Genomic DNA, 23612 nt, shown 5'->3' on the forward strand with positions numbered 1-23612 from the left:
AAATCCTACATATGATTGTAATCATCTGAACGACGTTCTGAACATGTTGAGAATCTTGGCAGTTCAGGAGGTTCAAGAAGGCATTAGGAAAAGATGTTATTCCTAACCCGTTTCATACTAGATCCTAAAATGTTCTTGTTCGTTCTTGCTAAAACTAGATATCCGGGGCTCAACCTGGACCTGCGTTAAAGTCAGAATTGAGGAGTGGACACCAGCAAACGGATGTAGAAGTGTGCTCACATCCCCTTCGTCAACTGCAATCTCGTTTAAGGCCCTGGGGTCTCCTGGAAGGGAAGTTGGAATCACGGGGCCACATGGCATTCCCTGGAGTCCTCCCCACCCTGTAGTGTCACCAGCCAGCCAGCACCATCACAGGTGGCCCCATCTTACCTCAGGTAATGAGAGTGCTCTCAAGGCTGGGCCACGTCACCTGCCTACGCAGGATGGAGCTGGAGTGTGCCTTTTCTGACCATGGTAGTCTCCGTCGACTCCGAGTTGAGGGCCTGTCACACAGTCACTCACTCACTCTGTAGATTGAAATCTGGGCCTCAATTCCTATAGAACAGGCTACCCCTCCTCCCTGACAGCACAATCTAAAAAGAGCAGCAAGGTAGTGGGTTCCACATTCCCTCTTACACAGGATTGCATGTGTGAGACAGAAAGTGAGACCAACAGTAAATAAATAAATACATAAATAAATAAATAAAAAATAAACCCACTGGCATGTTTTCACTGAGAAAATGTCTGCAGATGGCCACCCTGTGGGGTGGGTATTATCCCCTGTGTGGTTTCTTTTTTGGTTTGAGGGGCTTTGTACTCAGTTATGAAATCATTCTCACCACCACCACCACCCCCCTTCATCTGTTATGGTGACATCTCCAAGTAATGTTTAAAACCAAAGAGTACATTTTATTTTAAAATTAAAGAGTTCAGTAGCTAAAAAAGCAGCAGTACCCCCTGTTCGGAATGCCTTGGAATCTACTTTCCCCAGTTTAAATAGTTGGAAAGTCACCATGAACCTCGGATGCTCTTCTTGGCAGTAGAGAAAAACTGCCGTAACCACAGCTCAGAAATATACACACCCCTCAATGGAACTGGCTTCTTGCCTTCTGTTGTGAGCATACATCACAAGTCAAAATGAATTAAATACAAATCCAGTTTGCAATGGTCCGTCACTAAGCTGCCTCCCAGGAGCGAGCCGGCAGCATGTGGGTTGGAAGGGGGCCCACAGCGTTCCCTGCGCTGTCTTGAATTGGACTGCAGTCTGTCTGACAAACCAGCCCCACAAGGGAGTCCACAGCCTGGTGGCTCTTTGACTGGGATGGGGTAGGGGGTTGCCTTGAGCAACTGTGGAAGCCTAGCCAGGGGCCCAGAAGCACAGGCCTCCTCAATCCAGGCCTCTACAGTCAATCAAATGTCAAGGAATCGTCACCAGAAGAAACTTTTCATAGGTAAATAGAAGCAGGGCCGAGAGCTGACAGTGGGGATTTTCCAAAGAAATGGAAACAAACGTACACAGGCCACTCACCAGAGACTATAGCCAGCAAGAAACAGGAAACGTATCAGGTTAATATTTTAATCTGTACATCACATTTTTTTTGCAAACCATTACATTTTTAAATTAACTTTTTCTTGCAAAATATTCATTTCATTTTTTCCAAGAAAATCTTATAAAGGCAAAAATAAAATTTTATTTTGGCAAATGTCATGAAGTCGATACTGGCAGCATATGGAGTTAGTTAAAAATAGACAACAACTGCTAGATATATTCAAAATTCTATTTTTTTTTCTGAGCATAGTCAAAGAGAAATTTTCATTTAAAGTGTGGCTCCACCCAATGGAGGTTTTCGTTGTTGTTGTTTTTTCCATTTAAACGTCATTGTTTATATGCAGAATAATATAAGAAAACAACTTAAATAAAGGGCCACAAACACTGCACCTGGCTTGGTAGCCCCCCTCCTCATGTGGGGCTGGAAGTCAAATCAAAGTCCTGCCATTATGGCCCTGCTGGCGGCAGGCCATGAGGGATGGTGGGGGCACACTGCTGCCCTCCTGCCACCAGACCTGAGTCCCAGGGAAGCCAATCCGGGGTTCTCCAAGGGCAGGCAGCAAAGGTTCCCATCATGGCCTGGTTAGAGGGAAGGGATTTCTAGGTAGATGTCACCCAGTGTGGAGTTTATTGCTACGATACAATGAAAGTTGCTTCCTCTCACCTTTTCTGTATTTCAATGTGTACTGTTAAAAATGAAAGCAGGCTGGGCGTGGTGGCTCACGGCTGTAATCCCAACACTTTGGGATGCTGAAGCGGATGAATCACCTGAGGTCAGGAGTTCGAGACCAACCTCACCAACATGAAGAAACCCCCGTCTCTACTAAAAATACAAAATTAGCCGGGCGTGGTGGCACATGCCTGTAATCCTAGCTACTTGGGAGGCTGAGGCAGGAGAATCACTTGAACCCAGGAGGCAGAGGTTGCAGTGAACCGAGATCGTGCCATTGCACTCCAGCCTGGGCAACAAGAGTGAAACTCCATCTCAAAAAAAAAAAAAGATAGCAAACTGCTTTTTTCTTTCTGACAAGAGCCTTTTGCTGGAGGAAGCCTGGGGGCAGGTTGTGGGCCCCAGTCCTCTTGAACACACTGTTGCCCCTAAGCCAAACCCAAGGGGCAAGGCACAGACTTGGGCTCCACGTGTGATCCTCGTGGAGTTTCACACAGAGCTGGTCATCAGGTCAGGGACAGCTGATCTCTGCAGCCAAGGGCCCCTCTTCTCCCAGACAGCACGCCAACCAGCCTCTTGCTGGAGTCTACTGGGAACACCTCTTTAAATCTCACTTTCTCCTGAGGTCATTGGAAGTTGGACTAGCCTCGGCTTGCCCCGCCCTTCCTGCCCCCACAACACCTGTCACCCAGAAGTACCTGAATCTGTACGTGCAGCTGCAAAGTCCTGCATCCTCAACCTTCCTGCCACTCAGCCCTTGAGGGGAACATTAGAAAATAGATTCCGATTCTAAAATACAGTGTATTTTACAGTGTATATCAAAAGTGCCTTTGCCATTCATATGTAGAGAGGAGTCTGAGCTAAACTAGTGGGTGCATATTAGGGCCTGGCCTGTGGTGAACACCCGCAGTCGGTAAGCTGCTCCTTCCTCCGGCCGGATTCCCTGCTCAGCTGGAAGGGGTTTCCTTGGGGGCAGAAAGGTCATCTCCTTGGAGGAAGCTGGTTCCACTGGGCCCCTGGCTCCAGGCTTCTTTGCATGCTGGGTCACGGGTCAGTCACTGCCTGGGCTGGCAAAAAGCACAGGAGACAGTGAGAGGCTGGCATCCAGGGAGCAGGCACGTCTGCACACACATGATGGAATGGCAGATAGGCGGACAGGCAGAGCAGCAGAGCAGGGGGCTCTGGCAATGCGGCCGCTGCTGGGGGACCCTCAGCTTCCAGGACACATGGGGCTCTTGCCCCACCCTCCCTGCACCCCTATTCCACTGCTAGACACATGCTGGCCCCTAAATTGGGTCCCCATCCCGACAGGGCAAAGACTCTAATAAAGGTGCAGTCTGGCCCTGCCCTTCATTCTTTCAATGTGGGTAGCGCTCTTGGCCTCTGTGGGCCTTGTTTTTCTAACCTAAAAAACATGGTGGTCATACCCACTTCTTAACAAGGATGCTTTGAGAGTAAGAAGAAATGCAGTACTCCAAAGAGTATAATAGGCCAATCTTACAGCCATGGGGGCACCAAAACCCAGGAGGAACAGAACCTCTCTCCTGCCTCTCTGTGACTGAGCGCTGTTACTGTGCTCAGATCTCTAGGAGAAAGCCACACCCTCAAATGTGGCCTTCACAATGGGCGTGGCTAGAGCACTTCCCTATGGCTCCTCAACCACGGGGCCTCTACTCCACACCTCCTCAGAGCCTGGCCCAAGGAGGCTGACCTCTTCCTCTCATGCTCAGGCTGGCGGGGACCTGCTGACTCTGCTGTGAGGCACGGGGAGCACCCAGGATAGACACCTGCCAAAAAATCATGCTTCGCTCCCTGCAGCACAAATACTCTCTCCCTCCTTTCACTTCTTTCTCCAAACACCTAGAGCTGCTCGGGGCGGCCCAGATGAACCCATGAGTGGTGATGGGGAACAAAGGCTCTGAACTCACATCAAAGGGGTTCAAACCCCAGCACTTAACAAGCTGCGATTCCTTGCGCATATCCCTCAAGGCCTCTGAGCTTTTGTTTTTTCATCTCTAAAACGGGGAGGGGGGGGGGAATATCTTCATAGGGTTGTTGTGTGGATCGAAAGAGATACTTAGCACAATGCCTGGCACACAGCAGGCACTCAACAATGTTAACCACAAGTATACGTAAAGGAAGGAGAGGGGAAAGCCCTGCAAAATGATAGTGGGATGGGATGTCAGGGTAAGGACTGCCCAGACTGGTAGTCTGACCTTCCCCTGTCCAGGTGAACCGCTGGGCTCAAAAGCAACAGGCCCAGGCCAAGAACTCACTTGAGACTGGACCAGATGCCAGCCTCCTGTTTCAGGGCTCCCTCCTCATCCCACACTGCCTCTCATCACTAGATGCCCACATGGGGAGAACTTGGTAGGGTTGGTGCCAGAGCTTTCTGCCTGGCTGAGGGCCAATTTCACATTGCCCTGGGCTTCCCTTTCTCTCCCTCTTAAAGTGCCCAGTGACCAAAAGGGCAGTCCCAGTCTCTGCGCTGACACCAATTCTTTGTGACCTGGAGTGAGCCCCAGCCCCTCACTGGGCCTCAGTTTCCTCATCTGTAGAACTGGACTTTTCCCAATCTTACAGTTCTTCAATTTCTTTGGCCAAAGCCCTGAAAGGCCAAGATCTAACTCTTCCTTTCCAGCCCCCCAAGGCTGGCAGTGTGGTCTGCACTGGTTCTCGGGCATCAGGGTGCCCTACTGAGGAGAGCAGGGGATGGGGGCACAGTTCCGGTTCTAGAGATTTCATGGAGGCAGCAGGGTGGATTGCTCAGTCCCTATCGTATTAGAGCCACTGAGGATTGAGTTCCTAAAAAGCATCACTTTCCCACCTGCCTACCAGTCAGAACAGTCCCGCCAGCGGCCGCTTTGCCAGTGGAAGGAGGCATCAGCAGGTGGCACTGCAATCACCTCAGCACAGCAGGGAGGTGAGGGGCTCAGCGCTAGGGAGGTGCAGGAAGCAGGCAGAAGCACACCAGACAGGGGCTCTTACTTGGAAGGTGTTAGACAAAGGTGTAGTGGAGTCCGTTGGTAAAAGGGGGGTAAGGTGGCACCGTCCTGGAAGACAGGGGGCCTTTAGGCGGGAGGAGGGCCAGCTGCTGTGCTAGATGGGGCACACAGGAATTAAGCGGTGTGTTAGACTCCTCATCAGCTCCTGCAGCACCAGATGCCCCATTTGGCAGGCTGGGGTGGCATGGGCCCTGCTGCCCACCACGAAGGGCCTGGGCTTGAGGGTGAGGGACAGATCCACGGGGCCTGGTGGGGAACCGGATGGGTCAGGCTGCAGTTCCTGGATATGTTTCTGAGATGGAGAGAGGCATCAAGAGTGAGGAAAGGCCGCAGCAAAGATCATCCCTGAGTAGGGAGGAAGAAAGGCCCTGGGAACTGGCCGCAGCATGTTAGGGCTGGGAGCGCTCATCTGCTGGCAATAAGGAGGCCGAGGATGGCAGACCCCCTCAGGGTTAGAGCAAGCAAGGCGAGAGGAGGGCATGGTATGGTGGGGGAGCCGCCCCTGCTCGAACCCTCCCCAGGAGAAGCTCAAAAGCTGCTAAGATGAACCCCTGGGTCATGAGAAGGAGAGGTCTGGATGAGCCATCTCCTGCATCCCTAATCCCAGAACACCACACCGGCCACCTCTCAGCCCATTCAGCATGTGCTCGAAGGGACAGAGGACAGCCAAGATTTCAAGGACTCTGTGCAGGATCAGGCTGTGGGGGACAGAGAACAGGTTTTGACTAAGACTATGGCCCCTCCCCTTGTTGCCAGTCACTCTCATGGCCCTCTGGGGCCACAGCAAAGCTCTGATCTCCAGACAAGACTCCCCAGGCCCAGGCATCTGAGGACCCTGCCGGCCACATCCTTGGCTACTTCTAGACACTTTGGCCAGGGTTGGAGAATTGGTAGGGGCCATGACACCACTTCAGGCTCTATGGCTGTTCCCTCCCCAGAAGAAGCACACCTGGCCAGGAGCACCACCCAGACACACAGTGGCCTCTGCACTGGGGGAGAAATGGTACTGGGTGAATTGTGAAGGCACAAGGCACACACAAGCAGGTGAGCTGTGAGTGGAAGGAGGAGCCTGCGGTCTCCTTCCTGGCTGAGAGAAAGAGCAGCCCTTTTATACACAGACACACACACATACACACAGTCACACACACACAGACACACAGACACACATACACACACACATAGACACACATTGAGACACACGGACACACACACACCCACACACACACGTTCTCATCCCATGGTGTTATTTTTTTCCAATTGGACTGCAAAGTCCCACTTTCCAAGTCCTGTACTTTCTGGCACAGTACACTGTGATGAGGTGAACACTGGCTTTAGTTTAGAGACGAAGGCAGGGGGCCAGGGAAGGCAGGAGGGGCCCCCTTCTGCCTTGCCCCAGCAAGAAATCCAAGCATCAACCACTTTCCTGCCCCCTTCTTCATGAGGTCAGAAACCTTGGCCCCTTGGCTCAGCACCTTGAAAAACCTGTTCTTAGCTCATAGTCTCAGAGGAAGTGGGGTAGCAGCACCACTCCTCCTGGGACCTTTTTCCCCAGACACTTCTGAGCTTCTGGGCCCCCTTGGTCTCCTCCACTGTGTGGCCTGCTCCACCTTCCCTTCCAAGTCCTGCTGTGCTCATGGGACAGGATGCCGAGTGGTCAGGGGAACACACCACTGACCCTCAACTACCATCCTTGACACCTGGTTTTCCACTGGCTCTGGAACAGGCCATGCTGGGCCCAAGCCCACAGGTGCAGTGGGGCAGGATCCAGGCCTTGGGGGCTGGGCCATGGCCTTACCTGCCACCTGCTTGCTACGCTGGGAGGCCTCGGAGGCCAGGGCGTAGGAGATGTTGATGATGCGCTCCTGCTCCTGCAGCTGCAAGTCCAGGTCAGCCACACTGTTCTGGTCCTGGCCTGAGGTCGGCTGTAGGTTGCACATGCTGTAGGAGGGTCGGAAGCAGACCATGGGCCCTCCTGCCCTGGGTAGCAGCCTCAGGAGTGGAGGGTCTCCCTGGCCTAGAGGTTCTCAACATTTTGAGGGGGATCAGACAAAAACTGTGGTACTTTCTCCCTAGACAAAGGTACATGCTTTTCCCCAAACACCCAAACGGTCCCAGCTTTGTTCCTCCTTTGGGAAGGCCACAGACCTTAAGTTCACGGCTCTAGCTGGAGGCTCTTATTAAATTCAGACATGAGATGGCTAAGCCAGCTCTGAAAGGGAGGCTTACAAACAAGATTAAATTTCTGAAGCTATTGAGGCTTAGGGGACAGTAAAGTCACTTCAGAGGACCCCAGGCCAGCATCCAGGGGAGTGGGCAATGCCTCTGGTGCCCTACGGACAAGGCTGGCACCCTTGGCTCTGATCCGCTGGTCTGCATGAGGGTGCACAGGCCCGAATGCTGGCAGGCCATCACTGGAGCTGATCTCCAACGGGGTCCACTTCACGGCCACGCTTGGCTCCATTCTCCACACTTGCTAGGGTCACTTGGGACACAGAATTGGGGGTGACAGCCCAGGACAAGAAGCCTCTACGAATGTTGCAGGTCTTTCCAGATGACCCAGGCAGGCTCCCTTGCTGATCTGCTGGCGATGTACCAGCCTGCCCCCTCCAATGAGTAGGGCTTACCTGAGACGAAGACCTGGCAAAACACGCACCCCAGCCAGCCCGGCCCAGGGCCCACATGGTAGAGACGCCACCTGGGGTCAGGGTGACCTGCCAACACTTGAGCAAGCGAGGGCTGACCTTGACCGGGCGAGGATGTTGCGGATCTTCTCGGCTTTGCGGTACCGCGCCTGCAGCTCCTCAAGGCTGGGTGGCTCTTCGGGATCTAGCTCCACGTAGCGCTCAGGGATTGACACCTTCTCTGGTTTGGACAGCTGGGGAGAGGCCAGGAGGTGGCAGAGGGAGAGGCTCAGATGTCTGGGTTTAGGACTCGCTTTCCCCACCTCTGTCCCCTCCCACCATGGGAAGCAAGCAGAGTCCACAGAGACTAAGTAACTTGCTAAGATCACAAAATTAGTCAGTTGTGGAATCCAGGTTTGAACCTGAGTCCGACTCCAAAGCTCATGTTCCTTCCACTCCACCAGCCAACCTCCTACAGGCTGGGGGAAGGGAAGGGCGAAATAACTAGACTACAAGCTCTCAGGATAAAAAATGATCATCCTTAATGCCACCGTCAAGGCCCTAAGTGATCTGACCCCTGATGACCTCTCCAGCCACTGATCAACCAGTCCCTCCAGTTCCCCGCCCACAGTGGGGCCTCTGTTCTGTCTGGGAAGCTCTTCCTTTTGTTCCCTTGACTCTCATCTTTTCAACCTCACTTTGAGGATCCTTCTCTGATCCCCTCCACCCCCTCACTTTCCATTCACCATTGTCTCCCTCTGTCTAATGCAGGGACTTAGTACTTAGTAGCCCTCCAACTAATTCTCCCTGAATGGATGGATAATGGATAAATGGATGATTGACAGGTGGGTGAATGAAAGGATGTGATGGTGCTTTCTGTCCCTAAAAAAGCTCTTCTGATCTAGACAGGAGGCAGCTATGCTGAATCTACTGCTGGCCAGAGGAAAATGGCCCCAAATTTCACCTCACCAGCATCTCCCGTGGACCTAGTGGCAAACTCGGCTTGGTGAAACCTTGCTTGGACTAAGAACACGAAAGGAAGCTTCTGCATGCTCCAGGAACTTTTTCCTCCCTGAATTACAAAAGCACACTAAAATGGGGTGGGTTGAAGCTCCTAAAAACAAGCTTAATCCAATCCCAGGGCAAATCAGGTCATGGATTTAAACCCACACGCAGCCCTTTCACTCTGTTGGAGATGGCAAGAAATAAGCTCTTCTCTGTTACTCCAATGAGGACAGATTTAGAGGAAGGAAGCAGATTACATTGTAGCAGGAGGAATTTAGGTTAGAGATAAGGAAGAACTTTTTCCCTGGGCTGGCAGGCAATCAGGACACTACAGAACACACTTCCCCTGCCAAGGCAGCATGTTGGGGCTTCTTTTGTGAATCTGAGAACGCACAGACCTTTGGCTGTTTCAGATGGCAAAGGAACAAGGTCTTGGGGCAGGGGACCAGCCTTGTTAACTCCTAGAGCCCCAGCAGACCCCAAAACTCAACAACTGTACAGGCATCTATCTTATCCACACACTGTTCCTTTGTTCCCAAAGACCAGAGGAACCCCTAACATACTGAGTCAGGTAGATACCATTGGCAAATCAGCTTGTGAATGGGCCTGGCACCACCTCTTAAGACAGCAGGAAGGCTCTGGAAGACACAGGTCCTCCTCAGTTCTCACTCTCCTATCACACAGACCTGGGGGAAAGTTTTATTGAGGTCTCGCCTCGATCCATCCTTCATGTGGTGAGAACATTTCCTCTTGTGCAGTTTCCAGGCAGGCCAAGTCCTTGTACAAATGCTTTTGGTACATTTATGGGTCACTGTGTGATTCATTCAACACAGTCAAAGATGCAGCAAAGATGTACCACGTACCCACTGTGTGCCAGGCCCTGTGCCAGGGACTAGGGATACAAAGGTGAACCAAGCAGCCATAGACGCTGCCCTGAAGAGCTTAGGAATAGCATCGACATAGGCCACAGGAGACAATCTACGTCTTGAAGACACTGAGTGTGTCATCCCGAGTTCCCTTTCTCTCCCCTTGGGTAGAGACATTTCCTGATGGGTAGAGATCCAGGAGTTACTTGCTCTCCTGGGCCTGCCCTGTCATGATGCATGTGAGCCACCAGAGGGCACCAGAAGAATTCAGACCAGAACTCTGCACTGTCTCCTAGCTTCTACCATGGCTGGAAATTTCGCCTGTGATTTTCAAACCTGCCCCCCATTTTCCCCTAGTCAGACTGCCCAAGTTGGCCTCACCAGCCAGTTGAAAAGCCAACCCCTGGTGTTGCAGGGAACATTTCCTAACAATAACAACTGCTGCTCACGTGCCTACTATGTGGCTTTGATCGCTAAACCTCCCAAGAACATGTGCAGTTACTTAATCCTCTTCACAACCCACTTCACTGTTGAGGAAACTGAAGCACAGAGAAGCTAAAATTGCAATTTGCCCTAAATTACAGAGAGTTTTGAACCTTCATCGAAACATCTGGCCTCCTTTCATTGCCTTAAGCTGCTATCCATCCATCCTCCTAGGCCACACTGAAGCTGAGCCATGTCCCTGTTCAGGATGATACCCCACAGTGGGAAGGTGGATCAGGCTGGGAACTTGAAGGCCATGTCTCCTGGAGGACATGAAGGAAGTGCCTGCCCTCACCTCTCTGCTGATGTCCAAGTCATAGTCTTGAGGCTCCAGGTCCAACTCAGTGACAGGCATGGCCTGCACTTTCAACCAGCCATTCTCCTCCTTGTCCTTTTTTTCCCCTTGCACGACCCGTTCCAGCAACTGCAGGTCAAAGTCCTGCTCACGCTTCCACTGGCAACAGAACAAGAGGTTAAACGTAGTCGCTTCCTGATTGCTGAAAGAGCCCGGCTGGTCACCTTTTTCCATGGGGTCCTTTGGAAGATGAACCTGTGATCCCCTTAGGGAAAAGCTGTATGTGCAATAGAGAATGAAGCTGCTGTCCCCTTCATATGGGCTGTTCCAGACTGCTAAGTGCTCTCTGATCTGGGTTCCCAGAGGTTTCAAACATACACCCTTGGGGCACAGGTCTAAGACTCATGACTTCAGGCTCACAGTGGTCCCCAGGGAAATAGAAGGCTCCCAGAGAGGGTGACCTCCAAACAACTTGGGACAGAGTTCTAGAGAAGGGATTTGTCCCTTCCACTCTCTACAGCTGGTTCAGGAGACATACGTCCCAGGCTCAGAATTAATGGAAAAACACGCCCTTCAAGGCCCTGCTAAGCAAGAAGAATAACCAAGGATCTTTCTATTGGGAATTTTCAACAAGATAACATTCGTAGGTGGGGGATCTCGCACTTACAGTAGGGCTGGGGAGGTACAAGCAAAAGCAGCTTGGAGCCAATGAGGCAGAAAAACTGCTGTATGAGACCCATCTATTTGAGATAGATGTTTTCTTTAAATTAGAAAAAAAAACTAAATCATATAAAATTGAAATGCTAAATCAAATGGAATGTTTCTAAGGCTGTTTCACAGTATCAACTTTGTAACAAGCTTCCCAAGAGGGAAAATCTAACCGATAAGATCCAACCATGACTGTCCAGCTCCGTGGTGACTTCCTGTTGACCCAGGACCTGCATCCTCACAGGCCTTTGACCGCTGAGCAGGTTGTTGAGAACAGAGCAGGCTCAAAGCCTCTCTTCCCCTGAGCAAAACCAAAGCAGATGCTTATCTATCCCAGGCCATCTTCTCTCTCCCATCCATCCACCTCAAAGCCCCAAATGGTCCTGATTGTCTTTGATGCCTCAAGTCCCTCCAGAACCCCAAACCCAGAGCCATATTCGCACATTTCACCCATTCATGCACAAGCTCTCAATGACTCCAAATCAATGTAATCACTCTTAGGTGATGGTTTCCAACTATTGTTGGAAAGGATTAGGCAACTGAAGTTCCAAAGATGAAAAAATCAATTTAATGATTCACAAAGAAAACACTCATTTCCTTACACGCTCACAAATGCTCCAAATAGAGACAAGTCCTCATTTAAACCCAGCCTGATTGTTTCCACAAACAGGAAAAGTTCACTAGACTCTATAAGGTATCCTGGGGAAGAACCACGCCAATCCATTATTATTAAGCAACATGTTTATTGGCGTTGATGCAGAGACTTACACAAGTCTTCTTTTTTAAGAGAAAAATTACAAGGTATTCAAGTTACGATTTTTAGATAATCTCTACATTTGAGACATCAAATTATAAAAGGTCAGTGTTACCCCATATGACATTTGTTTTAAAAGTTTAAAGGTTACCAGGTTTGCAGCTTTTAAAGATATGAATGTCCTGGGCCTTACCCCTTTGGTGTCTGAGCTAGCAGCTGCAGAGAGGCCCTCTGAATACACAGTATATTTTGCTATCCCTTCAAGTTATTAAATACCAGAAACACAAAAGGTTTTCCATAAGAAATTGTGTGATTGGACTACAGGAATTAAAACCGAACAACCTCAGTCTTGGGAGAATGTATTCAAACGTGCAATCTCTGAAGTCCCTGTCTACTGTCCAGGTGTAAAGCATGGATTTTTATAAATTAATAATGCCCAGACCTCTGCCAATGACTGTGGCGTCAGGCAGCAGGTTGGCTCAGGCTTGTGGGGTGGCTTTTGGGACAAGTGAATTATGAGTCAGTAGGCCTGCATGAAGAGGGCAGCAGAAAGGTGAGTCACATCTGGGAACACTCAACAGGCTATGGAGACAAGAACCGCTATTACAAGCCCGGTAATAAGTAGCACAGGCCAGTTAGAGCATGTTCAATGCAAATCAGAAGCTTCTGTAAACACAATCAGGCAGGATTAGAGAGGCAATGAGCGGTAACACTAAAAGCAAAGGAGCTTGTGCAATGAATTAGGGAAAGAACAATCAGGCTAGAGGTTTAGGGAAACATGGGATTTCAAACAACAGGGAAAAGTCAAATGGAATGTTTCCAAAGGGACCTAAGGTGACTGTGGACAGGGCGCAGCGCCAGGAAGCGCCACCAGGGGGCAGCACAGGCCTCCCCAGCAATCCCAGACACCCTGAGGCCTCTGCACTGCAAGCCCAGGGAGACCAGTGGCCCTTGGGGCAGGGGTGTGACCCCGTGCTCCATCACCCTCACACAGCATCTGCTGGCAGGTCTGGGAGGCTGATCAGTTTGCTTGTGCTTCTAACCAAATCATGTCACCATCTTCCTCCTCTCCTCTCTGAACCCTGTATTCCCAGGTCCTGAATTCAGCCGAGATTCCGAACGCCTGCAAAGGCCCCTCTCCATCGCGGCTGGGAGGACTGACTGGGTATTTCCTCAGGCTCCTGGGCCTGTTTGATCCTCACTCCAGCTCTGGTTCAGGTCACCCTCTGACCAGGCATTCGTCCAGCCTGGGTCGTGGACAAACAGCCCCGTGGGGTGTTCTCTGAACCATGTAGGTCAATGGACAGCTCTCTCACTGGGAGGTGTGATGTGCTTGTGTTTGGGGGACTCTGAGGGGCACTCGGCTCCCTGTCCCTGCCCCGCTGCCTGGCCCCTCCTAACATACTGAGCCAAGATCTCCAGGGAGCGGCCGGCTGAGGTAGCGAGATGAGGGCAGGCCCGTCCTCTCCCCTTGGCCCAGTGTCCTCTTGCGCTCTCGGACCAGGGCCTTCTGGTGTCGCTTCATGCGCTCCAGCTGCTCCTCTGCACTCATCTTGCCTCGCTGGTGATCCCCTGAGTACAGGCGCTCCAAGGCACTCTTAGGTCTCTGAGGAAGAGGAGGCAGGCAAGAGAGACACAGAACAGCTGGGCTGGGCACGCAGAGGACAGCCACCCTGCTGGCTGCATTCCCGTTGTCTCTCTCTCACACACATGCACACTCTAGTTGGGCTCCTCTTGGCCTTAGAGAACTATTTCCTCTAAGCAACACGATGCCCCCAACCCTCAGGAGCTTTCTGAGTAGCACCCATTCTGCAGATGCAGACACTTAGGCTCAGGCCTGTCCAGTGAGGCCAGAACCCAGGGTGCAGGCTTCTTGAGCTCCCTCCTGCCACCCTGACAGGCCAGAGAGAAAGGCAGGATGCCCTCCTTGGTGGACAGTGGGTGACAGGGAGCTCAGGAGGGGCTGAGGCCACCCCAGAGGCCATCCCCAGGGCTGAAGGGATGGCCAGTTACTGTCCCCCTGGGAGACCCTCCCTCCCCATGTGAAGGAGCAGGGAGGTCCTCGACAGCTCAAGGCCACTCACAGGGAAGGTCGCCTTGCTGCTTTCGGCATTGAGACCCCTCCGGAGTGTGACGTAGGGAGCAATGGTGGACGACTGCTGGAGCCTTGACGTGGACCCTGAGAGCCCTTAGTGAGGAAAGAGAAGTGCAAGCATGTTTGTGCTGGGGTGGATGGGTCCCTGCTTCTCCCTCATCACACATTCTTGCAGGAGTACCAAGAGCACCCAGTCAATGACCCACCCTTATTTCTCTTCTTCCTCCCCAGGGCATGGAGGAGCAAGGTCCCCAATAGAGGATGGGGGCCAGCCCAGGGGTGACCTTTGTCCCTGATGGGGGGCAGTGTCCCTGCAGATCTGTGGACCACCCCAGGCTTCCCTTACATGCAGATGACTGGGCTGCCTGGCAGGTAGAAAGGCTGGCGGGGCAGGAATGCCTTTCACCCCCTGATCCATTCTTAGGCACCCTGCACAACCCAACTTGGGGTGAGGAGGACAGTGAGAAGGACACTCAACTGGCAAGAAAGCATTTAAGGAAAGGGCTCACTGAGTCTTAGAGTGGCACTCTGGAAGGTCTGAGATGGCCAAGGTGGTGGCAGCCACCCAGCACTCCGGCCTACAGGGTGCAGTGACTCTGGAGCCAGAGCACTGGGATTGTCTTCCGGTTCCACCAATGACCAGCTAATTGGCAAGTTATTTAATTTCTCTGGGCCTTAGTTTCTGTGTCTCTAAAATGGGGATGACAGTACTTTCCTCATAGGATTGTTGTGAATATCATGTCTATATAAAGTGCTTAAACAGTGCCAGGCTTTCTAGTAACTGCTATTATCATTGTTCCTGGGGACAGATGTAACAAAAGAGGAAGAGAATCAGGATGTGGGCCAGAGGAAGACAGGCCAGGTCCTCCCTCTTGGCATCCCAGACCCCCCTGACAGCTGCTGCTCACTCCTAGGCCTAGAGCTGCAGGCAGAAGGGTACGAGGCACCAGCTGAAGGCTGGAAGCAGTGTGGTGGGATTCCCAGAGAAACTCCAGGGAGGGCCCTGCCTTACCTCTGCCTGGCAGCGTCTGGTACCTGCTCTCAGGGCCCACAAGTCCTAGGGAGGGCTGGGCCATGTCCCCGCTGAGGGTCGCCAGCTCAGGCTCACTGACATACGACCGCAGCTCCACCTGTGGGCAGAGTCCCAGGTGATGTGACCTGCCAGTGTCACACCCCTTTACCTCTCCCCACATGTAGAGTGGCAGCCCCAGGGTCCCCCGCTCACCCTGGAATCCCCATTCACACACTGCCCCAGCTCCCGGTCTCGCTTCCTCTCGTCTGACTGCCGCTTGAGGCCCCGCACAGATGTGTGCCGGATGATGGTGGCCTCTCTTGGCAGAGGCGGCACAGCCGGGGGCTGGTCCTCTGGGCTGTAGAGTTCGGGGAGTGGGGGCCTGGGAGGTGCTTCATCTTCCTGCTGAGAAAGAGAACCAGACCAGTGGTCAGCGAGACGGAGCTGGAGGGAGGACTGCTAGGTACTGCCACAGTGGAGGTTTAAAGGGTAGGAACAGGCCACATCAGAGCCACAGAACATGACTGCCTCAGCCAAGGAGCACTCACACTTCCCCTGGCGGAGCAGTGAAGAAGGGACATGCTCTGCTCCTCTATCCCCTCAGAGGTATACAGTTTCTATTCCTCCAAGTGTTACCTGTATAACTGTGTCCTGAAACCCAGGACTCAGGTCTCCTGGGTCCATGCCCTCGGTGCTGTGCTGAACTGCTCCCTCCGCTCATCTGGAGTGCACATCGCAGGCAGGCTGCTAACCCTGCCCTGACTTCCATGCTTATCACAGCACCACCTACCTGGAGAGTAACATCTACCCACTCAGCAGTGCTCAGCCTGAGCCGGCTCATTGGCCCTACACGAGCTCTGGCGCCTTCAGCAAGGTGGGGACCTGAACAAGGACAGAGTCTACATCCTCCTGGCCTTTCTATCAGAAATGTGCATGGTTACAAAATATTTCCTCCTTCCTGACTCAGACAGAACAGGCGGTCAGGATGAGTGACTCACTGCCTACCATGCAGTTCATTCCCTAGAATGTGATGAATGCAACATTTTCCTTGAAACTCCCTGTCCACAGTGTTCTGTGAGGGCTGTGGTTCCTCTACATATCAACAGACCGGCCCCTGGTTGCCATGAACACCCACTCGCAGGACTAACGACCATCATGCCTTCCACCTCCTAAATTCCCTCTTTCTCGGTCTAATTTGGTTTTGTTTTTAAGAATTTTGCAGAGTTCAGGAAAGGGCACTCCAAGCTCTTGGAAAGTTCAGGAAAGAGCACTCCAAAGCAAAGGTTTATCAACAATCTTCACTGATGTGTGAAAGTTAAGCCATCTGCCTAAGATACGCACTGGTTCTCTGAGGATCCACAGTTTCCAATCCTGACAAGATATCCGAATCACCAATTTCTAAAAAGCTCCCCAGAAAGATAAACATAAAACATTGATTGCCTTTGATTGAATGGAATGTCTGGAGGCAGAGGGTGGGAAGGAGACATGTTATTATGTACTTTTTTATATCTTTTGCTTTTGTATCTTTTGAGAATATTATCTAATTTATTTTTAAAAAGACATTAAACTCAAGAAAATAAGTCAAATAAAAATAAAAGAACTATAGCCACATGCAACAATGTATATAAATCTCACAAACATAATGTTGAAGAAAAGATGCAAGACACAAAATAGTATATAGAATTATATACCAGCATAATCACAGTGTTTAGGAGTCAACACAGGTACTAAAATTAAAAAAAAAAAAAAAGGCAAGGGGATTATTATCCAAAAAGTCAAGATTGTGGTTACTTCTGGCAGACAGGAAGCAGCTTGGCCTGGGAAAGAACCCACAGGCTTCTGGTTGCTGGCAGTGTTCTATTTCTTAGTCTAGCTGTTGGTATAAAACAGGTGGTCTCTTTATTGTTATTTGTTAAATTATATAATCCTGTTTTATGTCATTTTCAGGATGGATATTATTGTTTCACAAATATAAATGGGTTTTATTTTGTTTTGAGACAGGGTCTTGCTGTATTGCCCAGGCTGGAGTGCAGTTGTGTAATCACAGGTCACTGCAGCCTCAAACTCCTGGGCTCAAATGATCCTCCTGCCTTAGCCTTCCCAGTAGCTGGGACGACAGGCAAGCAGCACCACGCCCATCTTATAAGTGTTAAAAACAAGTAAGTAATAAAACAAATGGTAAAACTGGCAAACACACATATATTCCTAGGAGAGAGGACCTCTCCTGGTGATCCTGATGCTCACCCAAGCTGAGAAAGCCCTGCCTGAGAGCCACAGATGACCAAGCTGAGGAGGAGCCTCTGTGACCATCTACAAAAGGGAAAATGAGGAGGCTCAGGGAAGGGACGGACTTGCCTGAGGACACAGTGAGAGAATCAGTCCCGGAATCTGGGTGTCCCAGCTCCTATGCCAGTGCCTTTTTCCCCTACGCCCTGTCCCAGCTGGCAGCATTCTGCCCTATGTTGGCAGCCATCTGCCCCAGACATTCCTGCTGTTTGTTTTGGAATTTTCCCTCTCCTGTTTTAGGGCTAGAGCTCCAGTCCACCTCTTGGATCTGGGATTGGGAAGGAGATCTCAAGATGCTGAAATCCACAGTGACTCTCTGGCTGGGTGCTGGGCCATATCCTGGGTCCAGCTCTGGGCCCTGGACTATGGCTGGAAGCAGGTAGATGGTGAAGACCAGGGCAGCAGAACTCATGTGTTTTACCCAGCACTGTGCACTGACCTCATCAGAGGTCCAGGCACACACAATGCCCAGGTAAGTCTCCTCCAAGCCTTTGTTGGCAAAAATCTGGAGGGCCCCATTCCGAGGTCCACTCTTCTATGGCTTCCCTGCACTGGGACCAGCCTCATTGTGTTCTCCAGCCAAGGCTGGCCTGGCCCTGGAGGCGTGAGCTCTCTTGGGACCTGACCACATCTCCTATTTCTTTAAAGTCTCCTGCATTCCCAGACTCTGCCAAGAGCTTGGCCCCTTTCTATGCCAGGCAAACCAAGGTGCTGGCCCAGTCAGCCACAGAGGCCACAGACCGGATCTGGGACTGAAAGCCCAATTAGATGGCAGATGGCACAGAATAAAAGAGAAGGGCCAGGAGATGTGATTGGATTCACTAGTTAGCATGGAGACATTGAGCAAATGTCAACAATTTAGGCTCTTAGTTTTCTTCTCTGTGGAATGGGGATACTGCTCTTGCTGTGTATACTCTGCGAGGTTATTTTAAAGATCAAAGCATCCTCACAACCCAGCCCAGTGCTCAGCGGCGGGTGAAGGGAAGGACACTTTTCCACTGGACTGAACTCACTGCCCACAGGCTGTGTAACTGCAGGAGAGCCCCCTGCGGATTTGCACAAAGGTTTGCATGGGGACAGCTTCGTCCACAGCCACACACCTCTCTGCAGATCACAAACTCCACCCTACTCAGCACGCTCACTTCTTCTTGGTGGGCCTCAGTTTTCCCAACTGCAAAATGGGAGAGTTGGGTTAGATCATCTTCCAGGGCTCTTCCAGTTCTGACAGTCTAAGGCACAATAGCAGGGAAATACTACTTTTTAACTGCTTGTGACTAAGGACTCCTTTAGGACGCTGGCTGGGTCCATTTCCCCAAGTTTTCCCAGGAGTTTCTCTCCCAGGAGAAGGTAATCTGAGGACAGAGAGGAAACAATGGCATTCAGCTCCTAGTTATCACTACTTACAACTTTGGGCTTCGCCTTAGTTGGTGACTGAAGGGGGGATGTCACTTTCCTCAGCTGGGGTGGGTGAGGTCGGTACGGCACGTAGGTTTGCAGCTGGGGGAAGAGTCGAACCTCCAGAGGGGTCCGCACAGGGCTGGTGGGAGGACTGGGCTGTGGGGGCGGCTTGCTCTCAGAAGTTGAGAGTGAAGGCACAGGCGGGTGAGGAAACAAAGGCACCGTTTTTCTCTCTAAGGGGCATAGAAGGAAACAAAGCACGGGATGGAACAAAGACCCCCTTCCTTGGAGGATGAGTGGAGTAATTTAGCACCTCGAAGACTCAACCTCCCCAAGGGCCATCCCACCCACCTGGTTCCCAGCCTTCCACCCTCCCACCACCCTGCCCCCAATCAGATCCCCCACATCCAGGAAGATGAACATCTCACCCGGATTTTTTACTGACTCCACTAGAATTCTGAAGTTCTCTTTATTTGCACTCAGGCCTGCAGTGACATCTTCAATTCTCCATAGATCTTTCTGTATCTGCGATTTCTCCTGAGGAAGACGAAGTGGTGGGTTTGCCTTCTTAGCTCCTTACAAGTTTCTTCTTAGGACTTATCCTACCATTTCAGACAGAGCCCCCCGCCCTGAGGGGCAGCATCCCCTCTGGAAACCCCACTAGTGCTAGAACCAAGCCTGCTTCATAGCTTTCTAGGTAAGCATAGACAAGGAAAATGCCCACGATCCAGGGAGAAATTTCAGAGTAGCTTTCAGCAGTCCAGCTTGCCTACCTAATTTAAAAACAGACTGCCGTAAACACTGTGCCATTCCGCTAAAATACTGTATGACATACTTAGAGTAGTCAATTTCGTAGAGACAGGAAGTACAACAGTGGTTGCTGGGGGCGGGGGAGAGGGAAGAATGCAGAACTATTTAATGTGTATAATGTTTCAGTTATACAGGATAGAAAGTTCTGGAGATTGGGCGCACAAAAATGTGAATGTACTTAACACCACTGAACTGTATACTTAAAAATAATCAAGATGAGTCGGGTGCAATGGCTCTTGTCTGTTATCCCCGCACTTTGGGAGGCCAAGGAGGTAAACACTTGAGGCCAAGAGTTTGAGACCAGCCTGGCCAACATGTGAAACCCCATCTCTACTATAAATACAAAAATTAGCCAGGCATGGTGGTGTGCGCCTGTAATCCCAGCTACTTGGGAGGCTGAGGCATGAGAATCGCTTGAACCTGGGAGGCAGAGGTTGCAGTGAGCCGAGATCATATCACTGCACTCCAGCCTGGGCAAAAGAGTGAGACCCTGTCTCAACAAAATAATAATAATAAAGGTGGTAAATTTATGTTCTACGTATTTTACCACAGTTTTTTCCTTTTTTTTTTTTTTTTTTTTTGAGATGGAGTTTCACTCCTGTTGCCCAGGCTAGAGTACAATGGCGCCATCTCGGCTCACTGCAACCTCCACCTCCCAGGTTCAAGCATTTCTCCTGCCTCAGCCTCCCAACCAGGTAGCTGAATTACAGGCGCCCACCACCACATCTGGCTAATTCTTGTATTTTCAGTAGAGACGCGGTTTCACCACATTGGCCAGGCTGGTCTTGAACTCCTGACCTCAGATGATCTGCCTGCCTCGGCCTCCCAAAGTACTGGGATTACAGGCGTGAGCCACTGCACCTGGCCTTTACCACAGTTTTTTTGAAAGGCACTGTCCTATGTAATCATGACAGAAGGGAAGGCAAGGACTAGAGTTTACACCATCTCTAGGATATAAAAAACATTTTTAAAAAGTCAGCTGAACCCGATATTTGAGGTTTAGTTAAAAATACAGTAGTGAATGGAATATTAGTTGGCAATAAAAAGGAATGAAGTGCTGATGCATGCTACAACAAGGATGATCCTTGAAAACATGTGAGGGAAAGAAGCCAGTCACAAAAAGCCACACATTACATAATTCCATTTATAAGAAATGTCCAGACTAGTCAAATCAGTAGAAACAGAAAGTAGATTAGTGTTTGGCAAGGGCAGAGGGGACGCTGGGGGAATGAGAGTGACTGTTAATGGATACAGGATTTCTACTGGGGGATGATGAAGTGTTATAAAATTGATTGCGGTGACGGCTGTATCATGCTGTGAGTATACTAAAAACCACTGAAACGTATACTTTAGAAGGGTGAATTTACTTATTTACTTATTTATTTGAGATAGGGTCACTTTGTTGCCCAGGTTGAAGTGCAGTGGTATGATCAAGGTCACCGTAACCTCAAACTCCTGGGCTCAAGTGATCCTCTCGCCTTGGCCTCCCAAGTAGCTAGGAGTACCGGAGCATGCCACCATGCCTGGCTAGTTTTTCTTTTTCTTTTTCAGTTTTTGTAGAGACAGGGGTCTTGTTATGTTGCCCAGGATGGTCTTGAACTCCCGGCTCCAAGTGATCCTCCTGCTTTGGCCTCCCAAAGTGCTGGGATTATAGGCGTGAGCCACCATGACCAGCCGAAAGGGTTAATTTTATGACATGTGAAATATATGATAAAGCTGTTAATTTTTTTAGCACAATAAGAGTACAATTTTTATATATCAATTAAAAAAAAATTATAAACTCCAAAAAAATACATATCTACATACAATGGGGAAGGACCTAGGCTATATGATCATGTGCATTCTGACAACCAAAATCGAATGGGAAGAGGATCTAAAAGAGGTGCAGAGGGGTCTGATGGGGTTAAGGGACTACGGCCATCTCTTGACGGGGCTGTTTAAACATCAAATGTAGTATTCTCTTGACTTTTAAGTTAAAATGGGGGAAAGATAGCCTTGGTCCCACCCCATGGACTAAAATAAAGGCAGGCTTCCCACCCCATCTCCTCTCGAGGCACCTAGCTACCCCTCAACTGGAAGAGTTCTTGCACTGCATGAGCCTCATGGACCTGCCCAATACTGCTCATTGATCCATCCCTACAGGGCCTGGCACTTAGCAGGTTCTCAGTGCATACATGCTACGTGAATAAAGGACCAGTCATGTAAAAATTCCCTGAGCAAATACTTTCCAACAGCCAGGACAACAGAAGTCCAAAGCCTCCTGTCCCAAGGTGGGGCTCACAGTTCTCACTCTCTCTCTCAACCCCTCCAACATAAAGCACATCCTCAGGTCTGGCAAGCTAATAATGGGTTTGATTCTCAGCTCCATGCCAAAGCATGAGCATCCTAAAACAGACAGGTGTATTACCGAGCCCAGGGCATGTGTATGTAAGAGGATGACCTCTAGGGCTGAAGTCCCCAAGCTGAGTGTTGAGAACAGGTAAAGAAAGGGATTAAACGCAGTCCTCTTCCTCCTCCATAGCTCCCTGGCAAAGCTCCCCTGTCAGCCACTTTCTTGCCCCCCTGATGCCTTTCTGTCACCCCCACATGTGAGAAAAGAACAGAGAGCAGAGAATAAAAAAGGCTGGAGAGTCCCTATCCTTCTCCAACGGTGATGGAATTTTGGGCCTTCATAATGAGGGGAGGGGAATTTTGGGGGAAATGAGGGGGTGGAGTTTCATTCCTGCCTCCTCCCACCACACTGGGTAGAAAGGCTCCTATGTGCTGCTTTCAGCAAAGCCTTGAACTCACTGTTTTAGCCTTGACTGAAAAGGCTATTTTCCTGCAGCCAAACCTGACTACAGGGAGGCGAATTTCTAAGCCCTGTTACTGAGAATCTGCACATGGGGCTGCAAGTGCATCTGCAGTGCTGATGATTTTTCTAGGGCTCTAACAGCCTGCCTGGCCTAGAATGACACCAAAGAAGCTAGCACAGTGCCTGCTCAAAGCAGGGCTTTGTTAGCTTCCCAGGTTACTGTGCCACTTAGGGAAAGTGTGAGCAGTGCCACAGGCAAGGTGGAAATCAAGATGCAGGCTCCAGGCTGGCCTATCTGAGAGTAAGTCATGGGGCTGAGTTCTCCAGGGCGTCTGTGACAAAGACCTGTCACAGTGTATCTATTTGCTTTTGGGAGGGAAGGGGGAAAAAAAAAAGGATTCTAGGCCTGCTATATGTTAAATCACCATGACATAAGGCACAGTAAAGACACAAATGGCCAATAATCATACGAATAGATATTTAACCTGCTAATAACTAAATAAAAGCAAATTAAAGCAAGATGCCATTTAGTAGACTAGTAAAACTAAAAAGATCAATTACAAGTGCTGACAAGGATGTGAGCAAATAGGTCCAGTACTTTCATTTGCTGTGGGTAGGAAGATAAACAGGTGCAGCCCTTTAGAAGGTGGTTTGGCATATCCATCAACTTTTAAGATGTATACTCATTCCAACCCCAGCAAGTCCACTCCTAGGAGCCTATCTTACACAGATACTTGTAAACAATGTGAAAAGGCAGTTACACAAATCCTTATCACACCACCATTTATAAAAGCAAAACGCTGAAAATAATTAAATGCTATCAGAAGAGGAATGGCTAAATAAAGTAGAAAACACCCAGACTATGAAATAGTATGTAACAGTCAAGAAAAACAAGTTTAATTTCCTTAGACTGGCGCTGCCCAATACACCTTTCTGAGATGATAGAAACCTATAATCCCTGCTGTCCAAGACAGTAGCCGATAGCTGCATGTGGGTATGGAGCACTTGAATGAGTCTGGTGTAAATGAGGAATACATTTTGAATTTCAGTTACTTTTAATTAATTTATATTTTATTGGGCAGCATAAATTTTGGATTAACTGTCCTGGAAAGATTTCCACGATATCAGGTTATGACAAAAAAAGTGAGTTGCCAAATAATGTGTAAGTGTGATCCTCTTCAAGTAAGCCTTTTACCTGCTCCCATTCCTGAATAAATCATATGATTCTATGCATGTGCATATTTTTGAAAATGCATAGAAA

General features: G+C 50.0%; 1 protein-coding gene across 38 annotated transcripts in view, besides 7 other annotated features; it reads right to left on the minus strand.

The window, feature by feature from the left end:
• Positions 1 to 1562: 1562 nt before the first annotated feature.
• Positions 1563 to 23612, minus strand: part of PLEKHA7 (pleckstrin homology domain containing A7) — a 237118-nt gene continuing 215068 nt past the window's right edge. For 13 of the 38 annotated variants that reach the window (XM_047426431.1, XM_047426428.1, XM_047426427.1 and 10 more), the window contains 10 exons: positions 19176 to 19284; positions 18754 to 18980; positions 15277 to 15468; positions 15064 to 15181; positions 14041 to 14144; positions 13362 to 13562; positions 10495 to 10653; positions 7966 to 8099; positions 7020 to 7162; positions 5208 to 5318 (listed from right to left, as the gene is read on the minus strand). In XM_047426431.1, the coding sequence (XP_047282387.1) occupies positions 5218 to 5318; positions 7020 to 7162; positions 7966 to 8099; positions 10495 to 10653; positions 13362 to 13562; positions 14041 to 14144; positions 15064 to 15181; positions 15277 to 15468; positions 18754 to 18980; positions 19176 to 19284 (1488 nt within the window). In that variant the 3' untranslated portion in view covers positions 5208 to 5217. Of the gene's footprint in view, positions 3287 to 5207; positions 5319 to 7019; positions 7163 to 7965; positions 8100 to 10494; positions 10654 to 10732; positions 11504 to 11747; positions 13563 to 14040; positions 14145 to 15063; positions 15182 to 15276; positions 15469 to 18753; positions 18981 to 19175; positions 19285 to 23612 lie in introns of those variants that run through there. The other 25 variants (NM_001329631.2, XM_017017242.3, XM_047426440.1 and 22 more) reach the window with 11 other exon arrangements.
• Positions 3016 to 3739: an enhancer, noted in NCBI's record as "H3K4me1 hESC enhancer chr11:16800297-16801020 (GRCh37/hg19 assembly coordinates)". NCBI's record gives its function as "activates a minimal SCP1, AML or CMV promoter by ChIP-STARR-seq in naive H9 embryonic stem cells {active_cell/tissue: H9 hESC(naive)}" and the evidence as "EXISTENCE:reporter gene assay evidence [ECO:0000049][PMID:30033119]".
• Positions 3740 to 4462: an enhancer, noted in NCBI's record as "NANOG-H3K4me1 hESC enhancer chr11:16801021-16801743 (GRCh37/hg19 assembly coordinates)". NCBI's record gives its function as "activates a minimal SCP1, AML or CMV promoter by ChIP-STARR-seq in naive H9 embryonic stem cells {active_cell/tissue: H9 hESC(naive)}" and the evidence as "EXISTENCE:reporter gene assay evidence [ECO:0000049][PMID:30033119]".
• Positions 4858 to 5552: an enhancer, noted in NCBI's record as "H3K27ac-H3K4me1 hESC enhancer chr11:16802139-16802833 (GRCh37/hg19 assembly coordinates)". NCBI's record gives its function as "activates a minimal SCP1, AML or CMV promoter by ChIP-STARR-seq in primed H9 embryonic stem cells {active_cell/tissue: H9 hESC(primed)}" and the evidence as "EXISTENCE:reporter gene assay evidence [ECO:0000049][PMID:30033119]".
• Positions 5553 to 6246: an enhancer, noted in NCBI's record as "H3K27ac-H3K4me1 hESC enhancer chr11:16802834-16803527 (GRCh37/hg19 assembly coordinates)". NCBI's record gives its function as "activates a minimal SCP1, AML or CMV promoter by ChIP-STARR-seq in primed H9 embryonic stem cells {active_cell/tissue: H9 hESC(primed)}" and the evidence as "EXISTENCE:reporter gene assay evidence [ECO:0000049][PMID:30033119]".
• Positions 6567 to 7544: an enhancer, noted in NCBI's record as "H3K4me1 hESC enhancer chr11:16803848-16804825 (GRCh37/hg19 assembly coordinates)". NCBI's record gives its function as "activates a minimal SCP1, AML or CMV promoter by ChIP-STARR-seq in primed H9 embryonic stem cells {active_cell/tissue: H9 hESC(primed)}" and the evidence as "EXISTENCE:reporter gene assay evidence [ECO:0000049][PMID:30033119]".
• Positions 14811 to 15311: an enhancer, noted in NCBI's record as "H3K4me1 hESC enhancer chr11:16812092-16812592 (GRCh37/hg19 assembly coordinates)". NCBI's record gives its function as "activates a minimal SCP1, AML or CMV promoter by ChIP-STARR-seq in naive H9 embryonic stem cells {active_cell/tissue: H9 hESC(naive)}" and the evidence as "EXISTENCE:reporter gene assay evidence [ECO:0000049][PMID:30033119]".
• Positions 15312 to 15812: an enhancer, noted in NCBI's record as "H3K4me1 hESC enhancer chr11:16812593-16813093 (GRCh37/hg19 assembly coordinates)". NCBI's record gives its function as "activates a minimal SCP1, AML or CMV promoter by ChIP-STARR-seq in naive H9 embryonic stem cells {active_cell/tissue: H9 hESC(naive)}" and the evidence as "EXISTENCE:reporter gene assay evidence [ECO:0000049][PMID:30033119]".

The sequence above is a fragment of the Homo sapiens genome, chromosome 11 (genome assembly GCF_000001405.40).
Source record: "Homo sapiens chromosome 11, GRCh38.p14 Primary Assembly".
Lineage (NCBI taxonomy): Eukaryota > Metazoa > Chordata > Mammalia > Primates > Hominidae > Homo > Homo sapiens.